This window comes from Homo sapiens, chromosome 12 (genome assembly GCF_000001405.40).
Source record: "Homo sapiens chromosome 12, GRCh38.p14 Primary Assembly".
Lineage (NCBI taxonomy): Eukaryota > Metazoa > Chordata > Mammalia > Primates > Hominidae > Homo > Homo sapiens.
The window spans coordinates 3,614,890-3,633,270 of record NC_000012.12 but is presented as its reverse complement, the minus strand read 5'-3'; the positions used below and the strand labels follow the sequence as shown (position 1 = coordinate 3,633,270).

Sequence of the window (18,381 nt, the reverse complement as noted above, 5' to 3'; positions counted from 1 at the left end):
TCCTCCCCACTGTCAGCAGGGTCCTGGGTCTTCCTGCTCCCCCTGAACTGACCAGGACTCCTCCCGAGACCCACATCCTGCCACACCTCCCCCTGTCTTCCTGAGGGCCTGCTACATCCTGGCCTTGCTCCTGGATGGCTTCTTTTACCCATCGCATTGTATCTGTCCTAAGTCCCCAGCCTGCTGGGCGACAGCTGGACTTAAATGTGGAAGCTCATTAGGCTCAGCTATTAATGGATGATCATGGCTTAATGTATTCCCACTCTGGGTGATATTTTATTTAAATAGAGGCCTTTAATCCCTTCACCCACAGTTGAGGGTTGCATTGGAATATGTGGTGAGACCCAAGGGCATATGGACCTTTCAGCTTGAATCACTCAACAGAAGGGTGAATCACTCAACAAAAAACAAATACATTGCATGCCTATTTCACTGAGCTGATAAGTCAACTGTACTTGAAAATGTATTTGTATGACCTGAATATTTACCAGAAGCTTTTATAGTCATCCTTTCCATCTATGTCCACGACAACCCTGGGGGACAGGTACTGTTCAGCACAGTCGACAGATCAGGAAACTGAGGTCCAGAGAGGTTAGAGGCTTGTTCACATTCCCTTCAGTTGGTTGGTGCTGATACCTTCCCCTCAACTACCTTCTCTTCCATGCCATAGTGTCCCTAAATTGAGTTGTATGCACTTAGCACCCCATGAGAGGTGAAGATGCTTTTCTGCCTCTGGAGGTGGGCAGAGGTTGGTGCAGACAGGAGGGGCTGTGGAGGTTCAGTGAGACATCAGAAGTCCTGAGTCCTCATCTGGGCCCCGCCACTGACAAGCTGTGTGACCTCAAGAGGATGTGGTGCCTCTTAGGGCTTCAGTTTTCTCTCATTTGAAAAATGAGAGGTTGTAACTGGGTACCTGTATTAGTCTATTCTTGCACTGCTATAAAGAAATACCTGAGACTGGGTAATTTATAAAGAAAAGAGGTTTAATTGGCTCATGGTTCTGCAGGCTGTACAGGAAGCATGGCTGGGGAGGCCTTGGGAAACTTACAGTTATGGCGGAAGGTAAAGGGAAAGCAGGCACATCTTACATGGCCAGAGCAGGAGGAAGAGAGGACAGGGGAGGTACTACAAACTTCTAAACAACCAGATCTCGTGAGAACTCCTTCATGAGGACAGCACCAAAGGGAAGGTGCTAAACCATTCATGAAGGATCCACCCCCATGATCCAGTCACCTCCCTCCAGGCCCCACCTCCAACACTGGGGATTATAATTGAGCATGAGGTCTGGGTGGGGATACAAATCCAAACTACGTCAGCACCCTAAGACTGCCTCCAAGCCTGGGTCTCTGACTCAACCATCTTCAACCTTTGGCTGTGTGACAAGCTGGTTCTACAAGACCAACTTTGAGTGGTCCAGAGTCCTGCCTGGGGAGACTCCATTTTCTTTCTCCTACCCTAAACTGGCCCTTCTAACATTTCTCCCAGAGAGGGGTCCCTGCCTAGGTGCTTCAGGTGTCCCATCCTTACTGCTGGGCCTTTTCTTACACTGTTATCACACCTGGAATATCTTCCCATGCCTTTCCTTCTGCTCAACTTCACCCAGAGACTGAGAGCATCCCAAGACAAAAATTGGGACCCAGATGGGAAGAAGTGCAGAGCCTGCAAACCAAGCTCAGAAGAGCCTGGCCTTGTCTGGCCTTGAGGGAGGGGCAGCTGGGAGTGTGCTGAGCGTGGTAACACAGGAGACAGCGCCTGGGAGGTCGACTTGCCCTCCCGGAGGGCATTCCATGGGGGAGGCCCTACAGTCTCGGCTCTGGCACAGGTCTGGGGGAGGCAGGGAGAGGGTGCCCAGCCTGCAGGCCTCAGAGCCATGTGCCCTGAGCAGTGTGCATGTGGCCTGCCTCTCCTGACAACAAAATCAGGATCCGTTTACATTTTCGACTTGTGGCCCTGAGATGGTAGGCTCTGAAAAATAGAAAATCAGACTCATTTGCACTTCCCAGGAGGCCAATTATGGAAACACCCTCCAATTTAGGAAGGGGAAAAAATATCAAAAGTTCCAAATCAGGATGCCCTTCATCACACCACTCCACACATGCTCGAGCAGCAGCTCAAATTAGTTTCCCTGCCACACTGCAGGCCCTGCTCTGGGACACATGTCAGGAAGCAGATGTCACACCAGCCACCTGCAGGCTGCCCCCTTTAAAGAGATATAACAGCCACAGAGTCACAGCCTCTCGGGCCAAAGCTATCCAACCCCAGAACAGGGCTCCAGCCCATCTCCTGTCAAGGGCAGCGGCTACAGCACAGTGGCAGGGCTTTGGTTGTTCTTCCAGCTCACCTCCATCCTCCGAGGGGTCCTCCAACTTCCTGGTCTCCCACTCCCTCATAAGAGCATGTTTTGTACTGCACCAGTGGCTTGTGTGAAATGCCAGTTGCTCCAGTGCAACTGGTGACTGGGGCGTCCTGCCTGCCCCACCTAGGGCCCAGCCTGCTCCTTCAAGAGCAGGTGCTTGAGCCCTGCGGGCATCCTGGAGGCAGCACGGATGGTTTTAGCAGAATGCGAGGTTTGGAAGGAACCTTGGGAATGGTCTAATTACATCCTCTCATGTTTAAGTGAGAAAATTGAGATCCACAATAGAGGATCTCCCTGGAACCCAGGACTCCGAGTCCAGCATTCTTCCCACTTCTCCACTTTGGTTCACAACCTCCCTGTGTTAAATCACAGGCCAGAATCCAAGGTGTTTCTTCCAGAAGCTGTTTCTGGAAGAATGCCCCTGCCCTTTCTTGGCCACCGGTCCAGGTTCTGTCCCACTGCACATCTGTACAGAGAAATCCCTGCAGCAGCCCCCTAGGGTATTTCTCCAGAGCAACTTGCTGCCCCTGCTCCCCATCACTCCTGCCTTATGACAGCTCAGGGCTGTCACCTCGAGAAAGGTTAAGGTCACCCTCCTGGCAACCGTCAGCCCAGCGCTAACCCACACCATCTCCACAGCACCTTTCAAGGTGCCAGGAGGCTCCTGACTTGAGCCATCCTTCGGGAAGCAATTCATTTGCAATCAAGGGTCACCTCGATGTGAGGGTCGAATGCTCCAGCTGCACTTAAAGATTGTCAGCATCCAACTTAGCCCCTTCATCCCGTCATACCTCCATCTCACTGCCGTCTACCGATGAGGAGAGAGAACCCCCCAAAATGAGCTGCAGCAATGCCATCAAGGTCACGTTGCTGGTCAGTGGCAGAGCTGAGACAGGAACGCACAACACGGGTCTCCTGACTCCTGGGATTTCAGAACTGGTGGTAGTCTTAAAATCAGTTTCATCCAGGCCCTCTGGTCCCCAGTTATTCCGTGTTGTCTATCCCGTTGGACTTGTGTTCTCTGGCTTCATGTTTGCACATGCCACCTCTTCATCCCCCCCCCCCCTTGTCTTTTCCTTGTGTCCTTCACACCCAGCCCCCAAGAGCCTGTTTATCTGCTTCCTCGGCCTGCCTGTCTGAGGCTGCAGAGAGAAACACGTCGCGTGTCCAGCAGGGAGTCTCACCAAGCTCACCACAGCACAGAACATTTTTCCAGCACACTCTTTTGCCCATCTCACTCCCTGCCAGAGGCAGCTGCCTGTCCTCCAGCAAAGCACCAGGAGCTGAGGGCAGCCAGGACCCAGCTGCCCCAGCAAACTCCCTGCCCGTCTACCTGCAAGCCTTACCAGCAGGCAGAGGCCTCTGTCCTCGGGCAGCACTGGCTGGTTTCGGATCTGGCCCTGAAGCTGTATGACCATGGAGGCCTTTCCCCTGAGTTGTTACCAGAAAGCAGGCAGCCCCTTCTGTCTCCCAGAGCACAGACCGGGACAGCCCCTCCACTTCTAGCCAGGAAGAAAACTCACCCTTGGATTCACCTCCCAGCCACTGTAATCTGTTTTGCTGGGAGCACTTAGCCCTGGGCCTTCTAGGTGAAACAAAGCTGCCTGTGTCCTGTGCCCTGAGTCTGGCTACAGGAGGAGCAGTGAGCCTCAGAGCTGGGATTGCAGCTCACCTTGCTTCCGACCAGCTCGGGCAAGGCACGACGGCTCGTGACTCCTGCTTCATCTCTCGGTGTGTGTGTGAATGTGTATGTATGAGTACATATGCATATGTGTGCATGTGTGTGCAGATAACTCACATGGATGTCACAGTGGGACTCTGTGAAGGTGAAGAGGGAGCACATAGAAATGCTGGAAATAGAAAGCATTCTATTAATGGGAGAAATCACTTTCTCAGCGCAGACGATTGCACTCCTCTCTGGCCCTCATCTGTGAAGCAGAGGGCCTCTAGACTCCCTGCTGCCCCTGACACTCTGGAAGTGGATGGTCCTCCCACGTCTCCTCACTCGTGGGTCTTAATGCACTAGCCTTTGCCCAGCGGCAGTGGCTGGGATGACCGTTTCCATTTACTGCCTCTTTGTTATCTGTTTGGTCTCTTCTGTCTCTATCTGTCCAAGCTGCTGTTGCTGTTTGTCTTCCTGAGCCCTCCAGAGGCCTTTCTGAAGGTTGCGGGAGATGCCCTAAAGTTCTAAGATCTGGAACTTATGGTGGTGGTGGGGGGATGTACTTTCGAACCTCTTTATGCCTTTGCAAACATTCTTACAGGATGCAGGAGTGGGGAATACCTGTATCAAAACACCTGTGTTGAGGTCCTGACCTATGAGGGCTGCTGTGGGATGCAGAATGCACTTCACTGACCTTGCCCCCTCTCTCTGGGGTTGAGGACCCCAGGTAGGGTCACACCCCTGGAGAGATGGTTGTGAACAGCCCAGTGGTAGGATTAGGAGCTCTAATCCATCTCAAGGGTGAAAGTTGCCTGTGATTTTTTCTCTTACCCCTTCTGTTCTGTCCTTTCCTCTACCTGCCAGTTCCTACCCTCCTCCTCCTATTCCTCCTCCTCTCCTTCTTCTTCCTCCTCCTCCACATACCTTTGGATTGGTTGATGGAGGCCATACCCCTAGGACATTTGAATTTTACTAGGGGGCCTCTGAAAGAATTTTAGGAAAGAAGGAAAGAAAGAAAGAAAGAGAGAAAGGAAGGAAGAGAGGAAGAGAGAAAGAGAGAGAGAGAAAGAAAGAGAGAAAGAAAGAGAGAGTTGGGGGAGAGGGAGGGAGGAAGGGTGAAGGAAGGGAGGGAGGGAGGGAAAGAGAGAGGGAAGGAGAGAGGGAGGGAAGGAGAGAGGGAGAGAGGGAGGGAAAGAGAGAGAGAGGGAAGGAGAGAGGGAGGGAAGGAGAGAGGGAGGGAGGGAGGGAGGGAAAGAAAGAGTGTATGGCTTGTATTACAGTGAAGAGCCCACAGTTCAGAGTGGTTAAGTGATTTGATCAATGTTCCACAGCTAATAAGTGGCAGAGACAGGACCAGAGCTGAGGTCCCATGCCTCCCCATCCAGTGCTCTGTTCTTTTCTCCATTTTGCCTCCCACGAGCTGCACATGGAGGGTTGTCACCTTGGGCCTGATGTGATTTCAGATGTTGGAAGCATTGTTTCCTGATTTGGAAGTGAGGTGCCCCTGGCCCAGGGCAGCCCTGACAGGCCCATTTCACCCTGCAGGCATTGATTACCGTGTGAAGACGTTGAATGTGGACAACTCTCAGGTGGCCCTGCAGCTGTGGGACACGGCTGGGCAGGAGAGGTGAGGAGCTGCCCGAAGTTCTGGGCTCCAGAGGGAAGGCCGTGCATGCCTGACCCGTGGCCCTTCTGTGGCAGGTACCGGTGCATCACCCAGCAGTTCTTCAGAAAGGCAGATGGTGTCATCGTCATGTACGATCTCACAGACAAGCAGTCGTTCCTGTCGGTCCGGCGGTGGCTGAGCAGCGTGGAGGTGAGCTGGCGACCTTCCTAGGAGCATTTAGGCTTGACTGTGGCTTCTTTTTTCTTCTCTGTCCATCTCCCACGTGGGCCTCTGCATTTTCAAAATCTGATTCGGAACTTGCCTTTTCCAGGAACAAACTGATGCAGGCATGTGTTCCTCTGTTCGTCTGGGTTCCCAGTACCAGGCCAGTTCCTGGGGACCCAGAAGTGAACAAGACAGACACAGTCCCTGCCCTCATGGAGAGAGGGACACTGAAAATCCAGATTATGCCAGTAGCTGTGTCATTGCTGGGCCATGATTGAGTGGGACTGGATTGGGGGAGGGGACACAGTGGAGTGTCAAGGAAGGGTCCTGGAGAAATCAGTGTTTGAGTCACAACCAGATTCTTCCCTCATTCTCACCAGCGTCTCTCCCCATCCCCTGAGTCTTTCCAGCTCCAGTAGGCCCAGCTATGCCCTGCCCGGGAGCCACACCATGCAATGTTTGGGGGCCTCTGTCACAGCTCTTCACACAAGGGGAGGTTGATCCAGAATGTGAGGGCTCCAGGCTCACCTCAAAATCAAGAGTCTTGGCAGGGCCCAAGAGCAACTGTGTTATCTTTGCATTCTGAATTATCTGGGAGACTCTATGTTTATGATTCCTACTTGCAGTATGTCGTTTTGTACATGCTTTTTTCATTAGTGTTTCCACCACCCCAGTGCAGGCTTCTCAAGGCCACTGCCAGTGTGGACAAGCTACAAATTGCTTTTTGCCAGGCCTCGGCTGATTCCTTCACAGAACAGCCAAGCAGGATGTCCCGCCCCTTCCACCAGCAGGATTCATGGTTTGTTCACGTATTTGTTCAAAACACCGGCAGGCACTATTCTAGAGCCTGGGAATCCTAGCAGTGAATAAAAGAGACAAAGCTCCTGCCCTCATGAAGCTTATGTTCAGCTCTCTGCTCCAAGCCCATAAAACCTTGCATATCCCATCACATATTTATCATGCTGCAACAAATTGCTTATTTACTGGCCTGTGTCTCCCACTGGACTCCGTGCTGCCTAAGAACAGAAGCTGCATCTTCGTTGCTATAACCTGGATGCTTTGCATGAGACCAACAACTCCTGGATGAATGAATGGATACCACATTGCTATGAAGGCAGACTCTTGGAGTTGTCCATTTCTTTGACCCTTTTGGCCCTAAGATCCATGATCCCTTTCACCCAAATCTGTTTCTCTGTAGTTTTGCATGTCTGGGTCACCCGTCTGTCTTTTGTTAATCTGCATCCTTCTGATTACCAAGAAAAATAAGGAACAAAATGGAAGCCAGATTCAAGGGTTTCTCAAGAATTTGCCTACTACCTGTTATTTCTCAAAATTACTGTGCCTGACGCACTTACAAATGAGAAAATGCAAGTTTTGAAATGTAGGTAGTAGATTGCCTGTACACCAAACTAATAATGGAAGCAAATGGTATGGGTGAATCCAGCAGTAATTCCTTTCTAAACTTTGGAGTTTACGACACGATCTTTCTCTTCTGTTCTTTTTTTTACTTTTGTTGTTGTTGTTGGCAGCACCAAGCAGATTTATCTTCTTTGCAGAAGTTAAGCACCAGGAGGGATGTTAGGGATTACCTAATCCAGGGGTTTCCAGACTCTCTTCCTTGGAGCCCTGGAATCAGACTGACATTCCCCAGAGATTGGGGAGCGGCAAGGGAAGGTTTAGTGGTCACGGATCCAGGTCCCTCATCCCCCATCTCCGTCAGAGCTGCCTTGCCTTTTTCAGCATATTGGAGGTCAGCTACAATTTTGTTAGACAAAAGAGTTTCCCTTTGAAAATCTCCCATCTAGTATGGCCATCTCATTCAAAAGTGAAGAAAGGGAAGGCCTAACTTCTCCAGGGTCACCTGTCCTTTTCACAGACATTTAGTTGTCCCCCAGTATCTAAATTTTGGTGTGTGCTAGGGCTAAGCCTCCAGGTGGTCTGGGATTAATGGGAATGGATGGTGACAAATTTGGGGAACTACGCTCTCTGCTGTCATTAGGGGGTGTCGTTTCTAAGGCTCCTGTTTTGCACAGAGCCTGGGATCTAGAAGAAGAGGTGGAACAGTTTGGTGGTGGAGGTGAAGACATCTCAGAAGACCATCATCACAGCTTGAAGCATCAGTTTAGTCATCCTCCAGAGACGTTGCTTTGTGGGACGGGGCTGAAATCATCAGCGGCGTGTGGCTGCTAAGAGGCCCACGGAAGCCTTGGTGTGTCTGTGGGCTCGGGAAGCCTGGCTGAGATGGCAAATCTATACATAGTTAAATCAGAATTGCTTATGTGTAAACAGGGCTTTTCTATATGATTTCTAGTTTGAGTTTTTCCTTTTTTTTAAGATATTAGCCAAAGGTACATTTAAGCTCTAATTGATTATTCTAAACCTGGGTGAACATCAGGATCACACGTGGAGCTTTTAAAGGGAACAGAGGCCAGGGGCCAGGGCCTTCTCTCCCAGAGTGGTTCAGAGCCTGCAAATAAAAAATAAAACGAACAGCTCCCCAGGGAATTTTGATTCTCAGCCACCACTGTTCCCGGCTAAACAAGCGCTCCTTGAACCCTAACATATATAGGACTCTCCTGGGGAACTTCTTAAAATGCAGTCTCTGCTTCAGCAGGTCGGGACTGGGGTCTGAGATTCTGTGTTTCTAGCAAGTTCTCATGTGAGGCTGATGCTGGTGGTCCAGGGATGACCCTGTGAGTAGAAGAGCTCTAAGTCATTTCCGAAGATGCCTGTGACCCCTCACCAAGGTTTTACTACACATCTGCGGCATGTCCAGCACACACTAGGAGCTCTGGGACTCAGTATGATAGACCAGGCAATGCGTTCAGTTCAGCAGCACAGAGTTTCAGAAACAAGTGCAGGAGGCTGTGTCAAATGGCAGAGTGTGTGTTGAAGGTGTGGAACGGTGGCATCATAAATGCAATTATTCTCTAGATTCTTGAAAAGCTAAGTCATTCTGCCTTGGCAACCAGCAATCAGAGGTGTCAGGTGATAGATTAAAACTTGACACCTAATTTGATCTGAGGGGAACTGAAAATAATAAGTACCTTATATTTGTGGAGCACCTTATTTTTCCAAAGAGCTCTGAGCACTTTACCAACTCCCTCGCCTGGAGAAGGGAGGGTGGAGGGGGAGCTTTAATAACAGTCTTCAAGGTTCTGAAGCCTTATTAGTAAGTGAATGGTGGCCAGCTGTTCACAGTCCCCCTTCCTCCCTCAACCTGAAAAGCATACAAGAAAAAAGGGCTTCAGTTGCTGTACATGCCTGCATGGGAAAGACTCTTGGAAGAGGTTGTGTGGGGTGGGAACAGATGCTCGGGGGAGGTAGTGGAGTTCCCTGAAAGGAAGTTCTTACTATCCCATCTTGATCACTTCCTGGCCATGAAACTTTGGCCAATCATTCAACAAGGCAGCAGACCAAATGCTCCCTCCTGGCCCCTAAATTTCTACAGTGTATGATGGCATTTGACTATCTCTCTGGGAGGCCAAGACGGAGCAGGAATGTGTGTGGATGAGGAGATTCTGGAGGGTCCTTCCAGCCCAGAGGGAACCAAAATCCTTTGGTGCAAGAGAGCACCAGCACTGCTTGATGAGATGGGAAGACTGTGGCCTTGCCCTTGTTCTGCTATTTCACCCAGTCTAGGCAACTTTACCTTGCCTGCAGGCCTTCTGCAGAAGAGGCCCAGCAGATGCCCTCTGTGCCGATTCTCCTGAGTGCCTTATAGGAAGTCACCGCAGGCAGTCTTTCGGCCAACTCGGCATTTCCAACCCACCCCCAATTTCTTATCTCAATTGGGTAGAATTGGTTTAACCATTCCAATCTGGAAAAGAAACTAGTCAGGCTCTAAGGCCCCACGTGTGGCCATGGGACAAACTGGACATCAGAAGACTCTGGGGCCTGTGTCGGGTAGAGAAAATAGAAATTAGAACGCCAGCCTGTACAAGCCTGTATGGGCTGGTATTTCCCCCAGAGCCGGATTGCTGGCCCCCAGTGTCTGCAGTCCTGGGATGCTGAGCTTCTTGTTTAGAGCCTCTTGTCGTTCTGATGGCACTAGATTCCTGGGCATGTGAGTCGAGGAAGTGAAATAGAATTGGCGGAGTTAAGCCGAATAGACCAGTGTTTCCGAGCTGGAAAAAAACGTGGAGATTAATCTAATGCAACCTCTTGTTTTATAAGTAAGAAAAACTATGATCCAAAAAGAGGAAGTGACTTTCCCAAAGGCGCCCACACTTGTCAGCAGCACCACCCGATCTAGAAGCGAGGGCTTTGCCACACTGCACTGCTTCTCTCTTGTCCTGTGGTCCATGGCTGAAATCTGCTCCTGAAAAGCAGGTGTTCATTTACTTTTCAGTCCTTCTTGCTTCTCTCTCAAAGCAGAACAGTTCTTCAGCTCAAGGGGTCCTGGCCCACTTCCCTCTCCCTTCCTGGGCTGCTAGCTAAACCTCATTCTGCGATCTTTGTCATTGGTGACAATGTACAGCATGGTGCAAAAAATAGCAGTTTGATTTTTTTTTCTCCACGTTCCAAGTTGAGCTTGAAGTGCTGGCAGTTTAAAATGAACCACACAAATAAATCTTGTTTTGACTCATAGTCCAGGGGATGGATAAATATGGAAACCCCCAAGATATAATTTTGCAGGCATTTTTTTTCTTAGCATAACTGCATGCTTTAATGTGCTGAAAAAATTTTTGCTCTAGCTCCAGAGAAATAGCAGCACTATCCCAGCTAAGTGCTTTTTCATGCCTCCTAGCAAATAGATATTAAAACGCACGCACACACACACACACACATGCACATAGGCAACAACCAACCAAACCCAGCAGCTGCACATTCTGAGCTGAATGCCAATCCACTGCTCCAAGTTGACAGCTCTTGTTATTTAAAGTCAGAGATGGGTGATCTTTTGAATTTCAACAAGTCTGTCTTCCAACAAGCTCAAGTTCACAGAAAGGCAGCTGAAATAACTGAAGGTGGAGGGAAGGCTCTCTGTTAGAGGGTCATAGAACAGAACCTGGCTTTGGAACAGAGAGACACAGAAAAGAGGAGAGACTCAGATGAGTCACATGGAGAGATGGTGACAGAGCTAGGGCAGAACCCACATCTCCTAAAGAGAGATTGTGTGCCTGATGAAGGAGCTAAGATGACTTCACTCCAACCTGTCATGCTGATGGGATTTTTACCAACATCTCTCACAGTCTCAAGACAACAGAGTTTGAGTAGACCTGAGACCTGTTCACCAAAGCCCTAGGGGCTTGAAGGAGGTGTTGCTTCATCTAGGAGGTAATTTTGAACATCTTGTGCTGAGTGGTATGCAGGCTGAAAACCTAGTTAGGTATGAGAAAGGTGTAAAGTTTAGACAGATAGTTCCAGACTTTTGGGGTCAAAGTCAGAGAGGACCATGAGACACCTACCCCAATACCAGCTCCTCTCCCTGCCCCTGTGCCAGAGACTGATGACCTTGGGCCAGGGTGATGGTGACTGACTGTGATAGTTAGCACACTCCCTGGTCTTATGGGTATTCTCATTTATTTTTGCCAAATATTTGGAGATGAGTCTGTTTCTCCTTTATCGGTGGCAGGCCAGGGTCCCTGCAGGGAAGCCAGTTGTCCAGAGTGGCTGTGTAAGAGAGGAACAATACAAAGAACAGAAACCGCAGCTCCTGCTGAGTGCTTTGCTTTTAAATTTTTTTTTTCTGCTCCTTCTAAGCTCCTTTATTTTTATATCCAGGAATTGCTTTGGTTTTTTTTTTTTTTTTTTTTTTTTTTTTTTTTTGACAGAGTCTCTCTCTGTCACTGAGGCTGGAGTGCAGTGGCACAATCTTGGCTCACTGCAAGCTCCGCCTCCCAGGTTGAAGCAATTCTCTGCCTCAGCCTCCCAAGTAGCTGGGACTACAGGTGCCCACCACCACACCTGGCTAAATTTTGTATTTTTAGTAGAGACAGGGTTTCACCATCTTGGCCAGGCTGGTCTTGAACTCCTGACCTCATGATCCACCCACCTCGGCCTCCCAAAAAAAAAAAAAAAGAAGAAACCTGCCCTTTCTTTTCCCAGGACGCAAGAGGCACCATTGCTGTTTATGGTGCATAGGACCCAGATGTTGGGCTTATGACCCATTCCCTACCCCATCCTATTGGGTCATTCAGTATCCATCATCCCCTCTGCAAGCGAGGAAACAGAAGCCAGTGCCCATTCCAAATAATACCAAAACCTGGGGTAGAATTCTGCCCTGGGATTTCAAGTCTGATGCTCATATTTTCAGAGTTTCCATGTCAAGAAATCCCACAAGCCTTAATCATTCCTCACACATAAATCTACAAATATCTCTCTCCCATGTGCTCTAAACAGCAAGCCGCTTGGCCCATTTCCCTGCTTCCTCCTCCTTTCTTCCCTTTCCGTGAAAAGCTCTTCGCACAAGTATCCCGTGGCACAGCACGGTCAGAGGAGGGGGTGTTCCCATTAGTGAACGCTCTAGCTAATAGGGGGCCACAGGGTTCCATATATGCCATCAGTGGCTTTCTCACTTTCAAGTAGTTGGAATATGTACAATCCACTTAGGACATCAACTGCAGTGTCCAGAATTTAATCTATTTTTGATGGGTCAGAAGACACTGTAAGATCTTGTAGCGCCTTTGAGTCATCATTGCAAACACAAGTTACCATCTGACCAATAGATACCATTTTTAGAGGGTTCCAGTTAATAAGATACTAAGTAGCAGAGACTTGATTGGAAATAAGAATCTAGAGGAAAAGGTTGGAGAAGTGAGGACCCATATACTAAAGAGTTCTCATAATTCAGTGCTTATGGTGTTGAATGTTCTTTTTGATTCTCTGAGCCTTAACTTTCTCATTTGTTAAATAAGAATTTTTTTCCCCTATTAAATGGCAGTAAAAACGAATGCACAGATTAAGGAAACATTGAGGCTTAATTTCAAACATAATAGCATTTAAATTTAAAATTGGTATATCTGTAAGATGGACTTTGGACATTTATTTGAAATGCTCAAGTAAAACAGCTAAAGTATTGGCAAAACTGTAACTGCTTATTAGCTTCTGTTATCCCACAGGTCCCTCTATTTAGTAAAACATTTAGCTACAATGAATAACTATTTGTTACTAAATTATGATTAAAAGCCCCTAATTAAATATTTAAGTAAAAATAACAACCTTCTTCAATGTGCACATTACCACATTTACTCACTGAATGGCAGTCGGTGGTCCCGGGCCCTTTGGGCGCCCTCAGGAGAGACACACACGGTGCCCCTTTCACCAGGGAGGAGGTGGAGACCCGGGAAGCAGGCCCCTGGCTGGTAAGCCACAGCCATTGGGGAAGTAAACAATGTGATACCTTGAATAAACCTGTGACTTCTGGCCCAAGCAGTGCAGCTGCTATGGCCACAGTGTTCCTTCTTACACAGGGCTTTCTTCAGAGCCAAAGCGCCCAGTGACAGGGGTCTGTGGTGCCAGCCTCCAGCAAGGCACATGGCAGTCATTTATGGAGCCTTGTGGGCGCAAGACCATGAGGCAGATTTGGATCCAACCCTCAGAAGCTTATGTGCAATCAGGAGGCCTCTAGTGATGCAGTTTCTAATCAAAGCAGCCTCCAGAACAACTCCAAACCATGGGGCATTCATGGCCTTGGTCCATCGGACTAAGCCTGGCCAATTAGGCACGCCCTCAGGGTGCTGTAAGCTCTGGAAGGAGGCATGCAGCCTGTTGGCATCAACTGTCCCCTCATCCAGCACACCTTGGGGGGCCTGCTGTTCCATCTAAGATCCAAGGAGCATCGTGAAGGGGGAGCGGTCATTGCACACACAGGGACTAGGAGACACCACAGGCAGGCCTCAGGCACCTTGCAAAAGCATGATAAACTGAGGCTCTTGGAGAAGGCGGCTGTTTTCTGCTTTCAGGATGACTCTGTTACGGCCTCACCTTTTATGGCAGCAGGGGATTCTCAAGCGAGGTCCCATCTGTCCAGCCGGCATTGTTAGCCTGCCCTCTGGGCAATCCTATGACACCCCTCTCAGTTGAAAACATTTTCTGTTCTGCAGGAAGCTGTGGGAGACCGGGTGCCTGTTCTTCTGCTGGGTAATAAGCTTGACAACGAGAAGGAGCGGGAAGTCCCCCGGGGCCTCGGAGAGCAGCTTGCCACGGTAAAGAGCAAGCATTTCCATCTCTCTGGACAGAGTGTGACCCCGAGGGAAGTTGGGCAAGTGCCCAAGAGCCTTGGTGGGGACTTTCTCTGGAAGTGCCATGGGAAGGAAGCAACTGGAAAACATGGGTGTCTTGGTATCCTGGGAATGGCTCAGCTCCTGTGCATGTAGAACTTTGCATAGAAAGCCACAGGTTGCAAGATGGAGTTGGTTAGGGACCACTAGGGCATGGGGAATTATCCTAAAGTCCCTTCCTTGTAACTCAGAAGTATACATTCTAAGATAGCAATAGTTTACTTATTTCAATCCCCCTCCAATCTGCATTTCCACTTGATCACCCCCAGGGATGAAAAACTCACTCTCTGCAAAGCAGTGTATTCTTCTGCAGACCACTGTGTTAGAGAGTTCATCCTTTTTGTCAGGATTGAGCCTCAAAGTCATGAACTCAAGATAAACTCAGGAGACACACTGGAAAACCTACCATTAAAAAGCATGGAGCCCCTTGCTCAAAAATGGAATCAATGGGGCTTAATGGAAATCAGGCAACAAAATGTGGTTCCTTGGCTTCTTTTACTGCCTCAGAGTTTGTTTTCATGGAACTGTGTGTCTGGGAGGTTGGGGTGCTTACCAGCCCCATGATTCTGTAATTCTTTGCATGCTCATCCTAAACAGCGTTTCATGAGTTCAGAGCCTGGGAGAACGAGCACAGATGGTAAGACTCAAGGAAAAAGGAGGAGGAAGGGCCTGGCAGGTATCTACATGGAGGGTCACTAGACAGTTACATGTCCACAATTCCGAAATCCAAAAAGCTCTGAAAACAGAAAGGGTTGTTTTGTATTTTATCTGGCAGAAAAATCTGACCAGAAATGACACGAGGCTATTCATGGTTGTAACCTCACTTTGAGTGAATAGTCAAAGGTTTCACTGAAGAAATAGTAATATATTTGATTATAGAGTGCTGTCTGAAATCCACTGAGGGTATTATATAATATATGGTATATACATGTATTACCTTTCTAAGATTCAGAAAATTCTGGATTTCAAAATATACCTGGACCCAAAGATTCTATCCATTCTCTTTTCTTTTCTTTTTTTTTTTTGTTAGTGAAAAAAAAACTAAGACTCGGGAGTTAAGTGATACATTCGTATTATCACAGCTCACCCGAGGTGGGGTCAGAACTCAAAGCAGGAAGGCAAATCATGTCTTCCAGTTCTAAGTCCTATGTCCTTCTCTCCCCTCCCCACTATTCCCACCCCATGGAACTTCTACTCTTTGACAGACTGACCCAAGAGATTGCAGATCTGAGAGAAATGCAGACAAGGAGAAATAGAGCCCATGGGGCTGGGTGAAAAGGGCAGAGGGTCGAGCTGGCCTGTGGGTGTAGATGGGGAAAGCTGCACTGGGAGCATGGCAGAGCCTCCTGAGCTACAGCCACAGAACTGTCCTCACTCAACTGGCCTGCATCCCCTCAGGGCATCAGCCTCCAAGAACAGGCCATCTAAAAGCCAGGGCCCTGTGCCATCAGCATTGTCATAATGACACCAGTAATCTATTAATGGGAGTGATCAATGGAATATGATGAGCCTTAACCAAGGGCTCCCGCACCATGCAGGCAGCACAACCTCATCCTAATGAGCTGACGGCCAGTCTGGTGCACCAGTGCTGACAGCCAGGGCAGCTAGAGTATTAATTAACTGGTGCGAAAGAGAATTCCTACCGGAGTGCCTCATGACACCTGTCCCCAAGGCCTATGGAATGCCACTGTCTTGGGAAAAGCATGCTGCAAGGAGCTCTGCCATTAACTCAATGTGGGACTGAACAAGCCAGCCAAGTGCCCTCTCTCACTACAGCTTATCTGCCTGTGAAAGGGGGAAGAATATTGCCCACCCTGGCCTTTGTGTCTTTGCCTGAATCACAGGGCTGGTGTAACCTGGAATGAGCATGTGTGTACTTGAGAGGAATTTGGGAAAGTGTAAAGAGGAACTAAGACAGCGTATGGTTTCATTGTTTTACAATTGTTATAGCTCACCTGGGAGATGGTTACAGAGCTTGCATTGTCAGGGAGGCTGTGGAGACAGAAATCAGCCATGTACAGAGTGGGGAAGGATTATGAGGAAGGTCAAGGGGCTGCGAGAGGAAGTGAAGGCTGTAGGTAGATGCACAAGGGGGCTCTCCCACCACCCCCCACAATCCCCTCTCACTCCAATACTCTTGTATTCGCTCTGTTTTATGATTCTAGGAGAACAATCTGATCTTCTATGAATGCAGCGCCTACTCTGGTCACAACACCAAAGAGTCCCTGCTCCATCTGGCCAGGTAAAGAGATGTGCTCCCCAGGTGCAGTAACTGCTGTGTCCAGCTGTGTCTGCCTTCAGGGAGGCACCGTGTTTCCCTCCACCCAGGCCACACCTCTGACCCCCCTTCCTCCCTATTGGCCAGAGCCCTCTGAGTATAGGCAACGGGGTCCTGGGCCTTTGTATGGGATTGCAACATCAGGAGCAGCTTTCTGAAACAATGATGTTGGGAAAGAAAGCATCCCTACCTGTCACCCCCATTGCAGTCTTCTTCTTAGTCTTAAAGGCTGCCTTTTCCTAGGGATGCTCTTTTTAAATGCCAATCCTTCTGGGGGAAGGCCAGATCAGAGGCCCCTCAGCACTGGCTGATGTCTTAGCAGGGACTAGCTGGAAGCCAGCTGGAGGCAAGAATGGGTTATAATATGAGTTCCTGGGTGTGGGAGGAAGGAGTGGGTGTAGAAACCAGAAAGAAGAGGGGCTGTGATGGGAAATCAATGGGAGGTAACCAAGGTAATGGTGCTGGTAGCATGAAAAGACTGGTTCCTTAAGGCCCTGCCTACACCAAAAATTTAAACAACAAAACCATGCTGGGACTCATTTCTGATACTTAAGAATTCACTCATTCATTCATCCATCTAGGCCTTCATTTCATTCCATCTATTCATCCGTCCAGCAAATACTTAACAGAGCCCATTTTGTGCTCAGCACTCATTCTGGGGCACTTAAAAATATTTTTCTTTGAGTAATTAAGAGCCCAGAACAACTCCTCTATGCATTGGCGAGGTTATAGGGTTATGGAGTATCACAAGGAAACATTCTAGGCTTTTCTCTGCCCCTGACTCCCTGGGCAAATGCCCTGCCTCTCTGAGCTTTGTCAGGAAGGTAGGAACATCAATCACACCTTCCTTTCCTGCCCACTCACAGGTTGTTGAGAGAATCAAAGGAGGTGCGTAACGCAAAAGCGTTTGGAAAGTATAGAGAAGAGACAGGTGTTTACCATTATTTTTAATTCCTCACCTCCTACAATTAATCTGGAGCTGTGGCCACATGGCACAGCCCTACTGCAGAGGTTACGACCCATCAGTATATTTTGGAGCCTCACCTGTGTGCTGGTTACTGTGATAAGCTGCAGAGGCACAGAGACAAAAGATAAGTCTCAGTCCCAAGCAACTCATTTTCTGCCGAGGGAGACAGCCAGGGAAGTCACGCATTGTGACACTGGGTGATGGGGTCATGACAGAGGAAGGGTCAGATGCTGTCAGGGGCACTTAGGCTTACCTAGAGGATCAGGAGAGGCTTCCTGGAGGAGGTGTCTTGAAGGATCCATGTCAACTAAACTCTCTGGCTTTACAATTACAGCTGTGCACCTGTACTGTCCAGGGGGGGATGTTCAGGACTCTCTCTGATGCCGTGGTGAGGGTGGGTTCTCTCCATATGGCCCAGATGACCTGTAACCTGAGGGTAGCTTGTCCAGGTTGCCAGCCCCTGGGCCTATCAACTTCTCCATCACTGACACGATCTCTTCCCCTCTCCCAGGTTCCTCAAGGAGCAAGAAGACACAGTGAGAGAGGACACCATTCAGGTCGGCCACCCTGCTAAGAAGAAATCCTGCTGTGGCTGATAGGGTCCTACAAGGACTGCCCCCAGCAAACCTGAGGTCACAGAGCCTGCCCTGATCCTGCACACGGCTCCTGCACAGATGCCACCCACCGGGGCCCGCCCAGTCCTTTTCTTTGTCAGTCACTCACCTCCCCCAAAAGGAAGGGAAGCACATCCCATCAGGAGAGCTGCTCTTGGAGCATCTCAGAGTCTTTTCTCTCCTTTCTCTTTCTAGACCCCAGATGCCTGTCCCTGCTTTGTTGTTGTTGTTGTTTTCCCCGACTTAGTTTCCTAGGGGAAAGAAACAGATGGGCTTTTCCAGAAAAGCCACCACGTGCCTTCTCCACGCCCCCTTCTCCTCCCCTTGCCCTTAGGAGCCTCAGCACTGCTGTTGCCGTGACAACTATGCAGGGCTCGACTTGCGGCTTCCTGCAGGCCAAAGGTACAGCACTCAGGTGCCACCGGGGTAGTTAATCTTTCTTGGCCC

At 49.2% G+C, this 18,381-nt stretch overlaps 1 protein-coding gene across 9 annotated transcripts in view, besides 1 other annotated feature; it reads left to right on the top strand.

Annotated features, from left to right (window-relative positions):
* CRACR2A (calcium release activated channel regulator 2A) overlaps positions 1–17,943 on the top strand; it is a 137,782-nt gene extending 119,839 nt beyond the window's left edge. For all 9 annotated transcript variants that reach the window (XM_011521034.4, NM_001144958.2, XM_006719021.4 and 6 more), the window contains 5 exons: positions 5,565–5,646; positions 5,721–5,835; positions 13,899–14,000; positions 16,241–16,317; positions 17,832–17,943. In XM_011521034.4, coding sequence (XP_011519336.1) covers positions 5,565–5,646; positions 5,721–5,835; positions 13,899–14,000; positions 16,241–16,317; positions 17,832–17,916 — 461 coding nt within the window. In that variant the 3' untranslated portion in view covers positions 17,917–17,943. The remainder of the gene's footprint in view (positions 1–5,564; positions 5,647–5,720; positions 5,836–13,898; positions 14,001–16,240; positions 16,318–17,831) is intronic.
* Positions 3,632–4,263: an enhancer, noted in NCBI's record as "H3K27ac-H3K4me1 hESC enhancer chr12:3738174-3738805 (GRCh37/hg19 assembly coordinates)". NCBI's record gives its function as "activates a minimal SCP1, AML or CMV promoter by ChIP-STARR-seq in primed H9 embryonic stem cells {active_cell/tissue: H9 hESC(primed)}" and the evidence as "EXISTENCE:reporter gene assay evidence [ECO:0000049][PMID:30033119]".
* Positions 17,944–18,381: the final 438 nt, after the last annotated feature.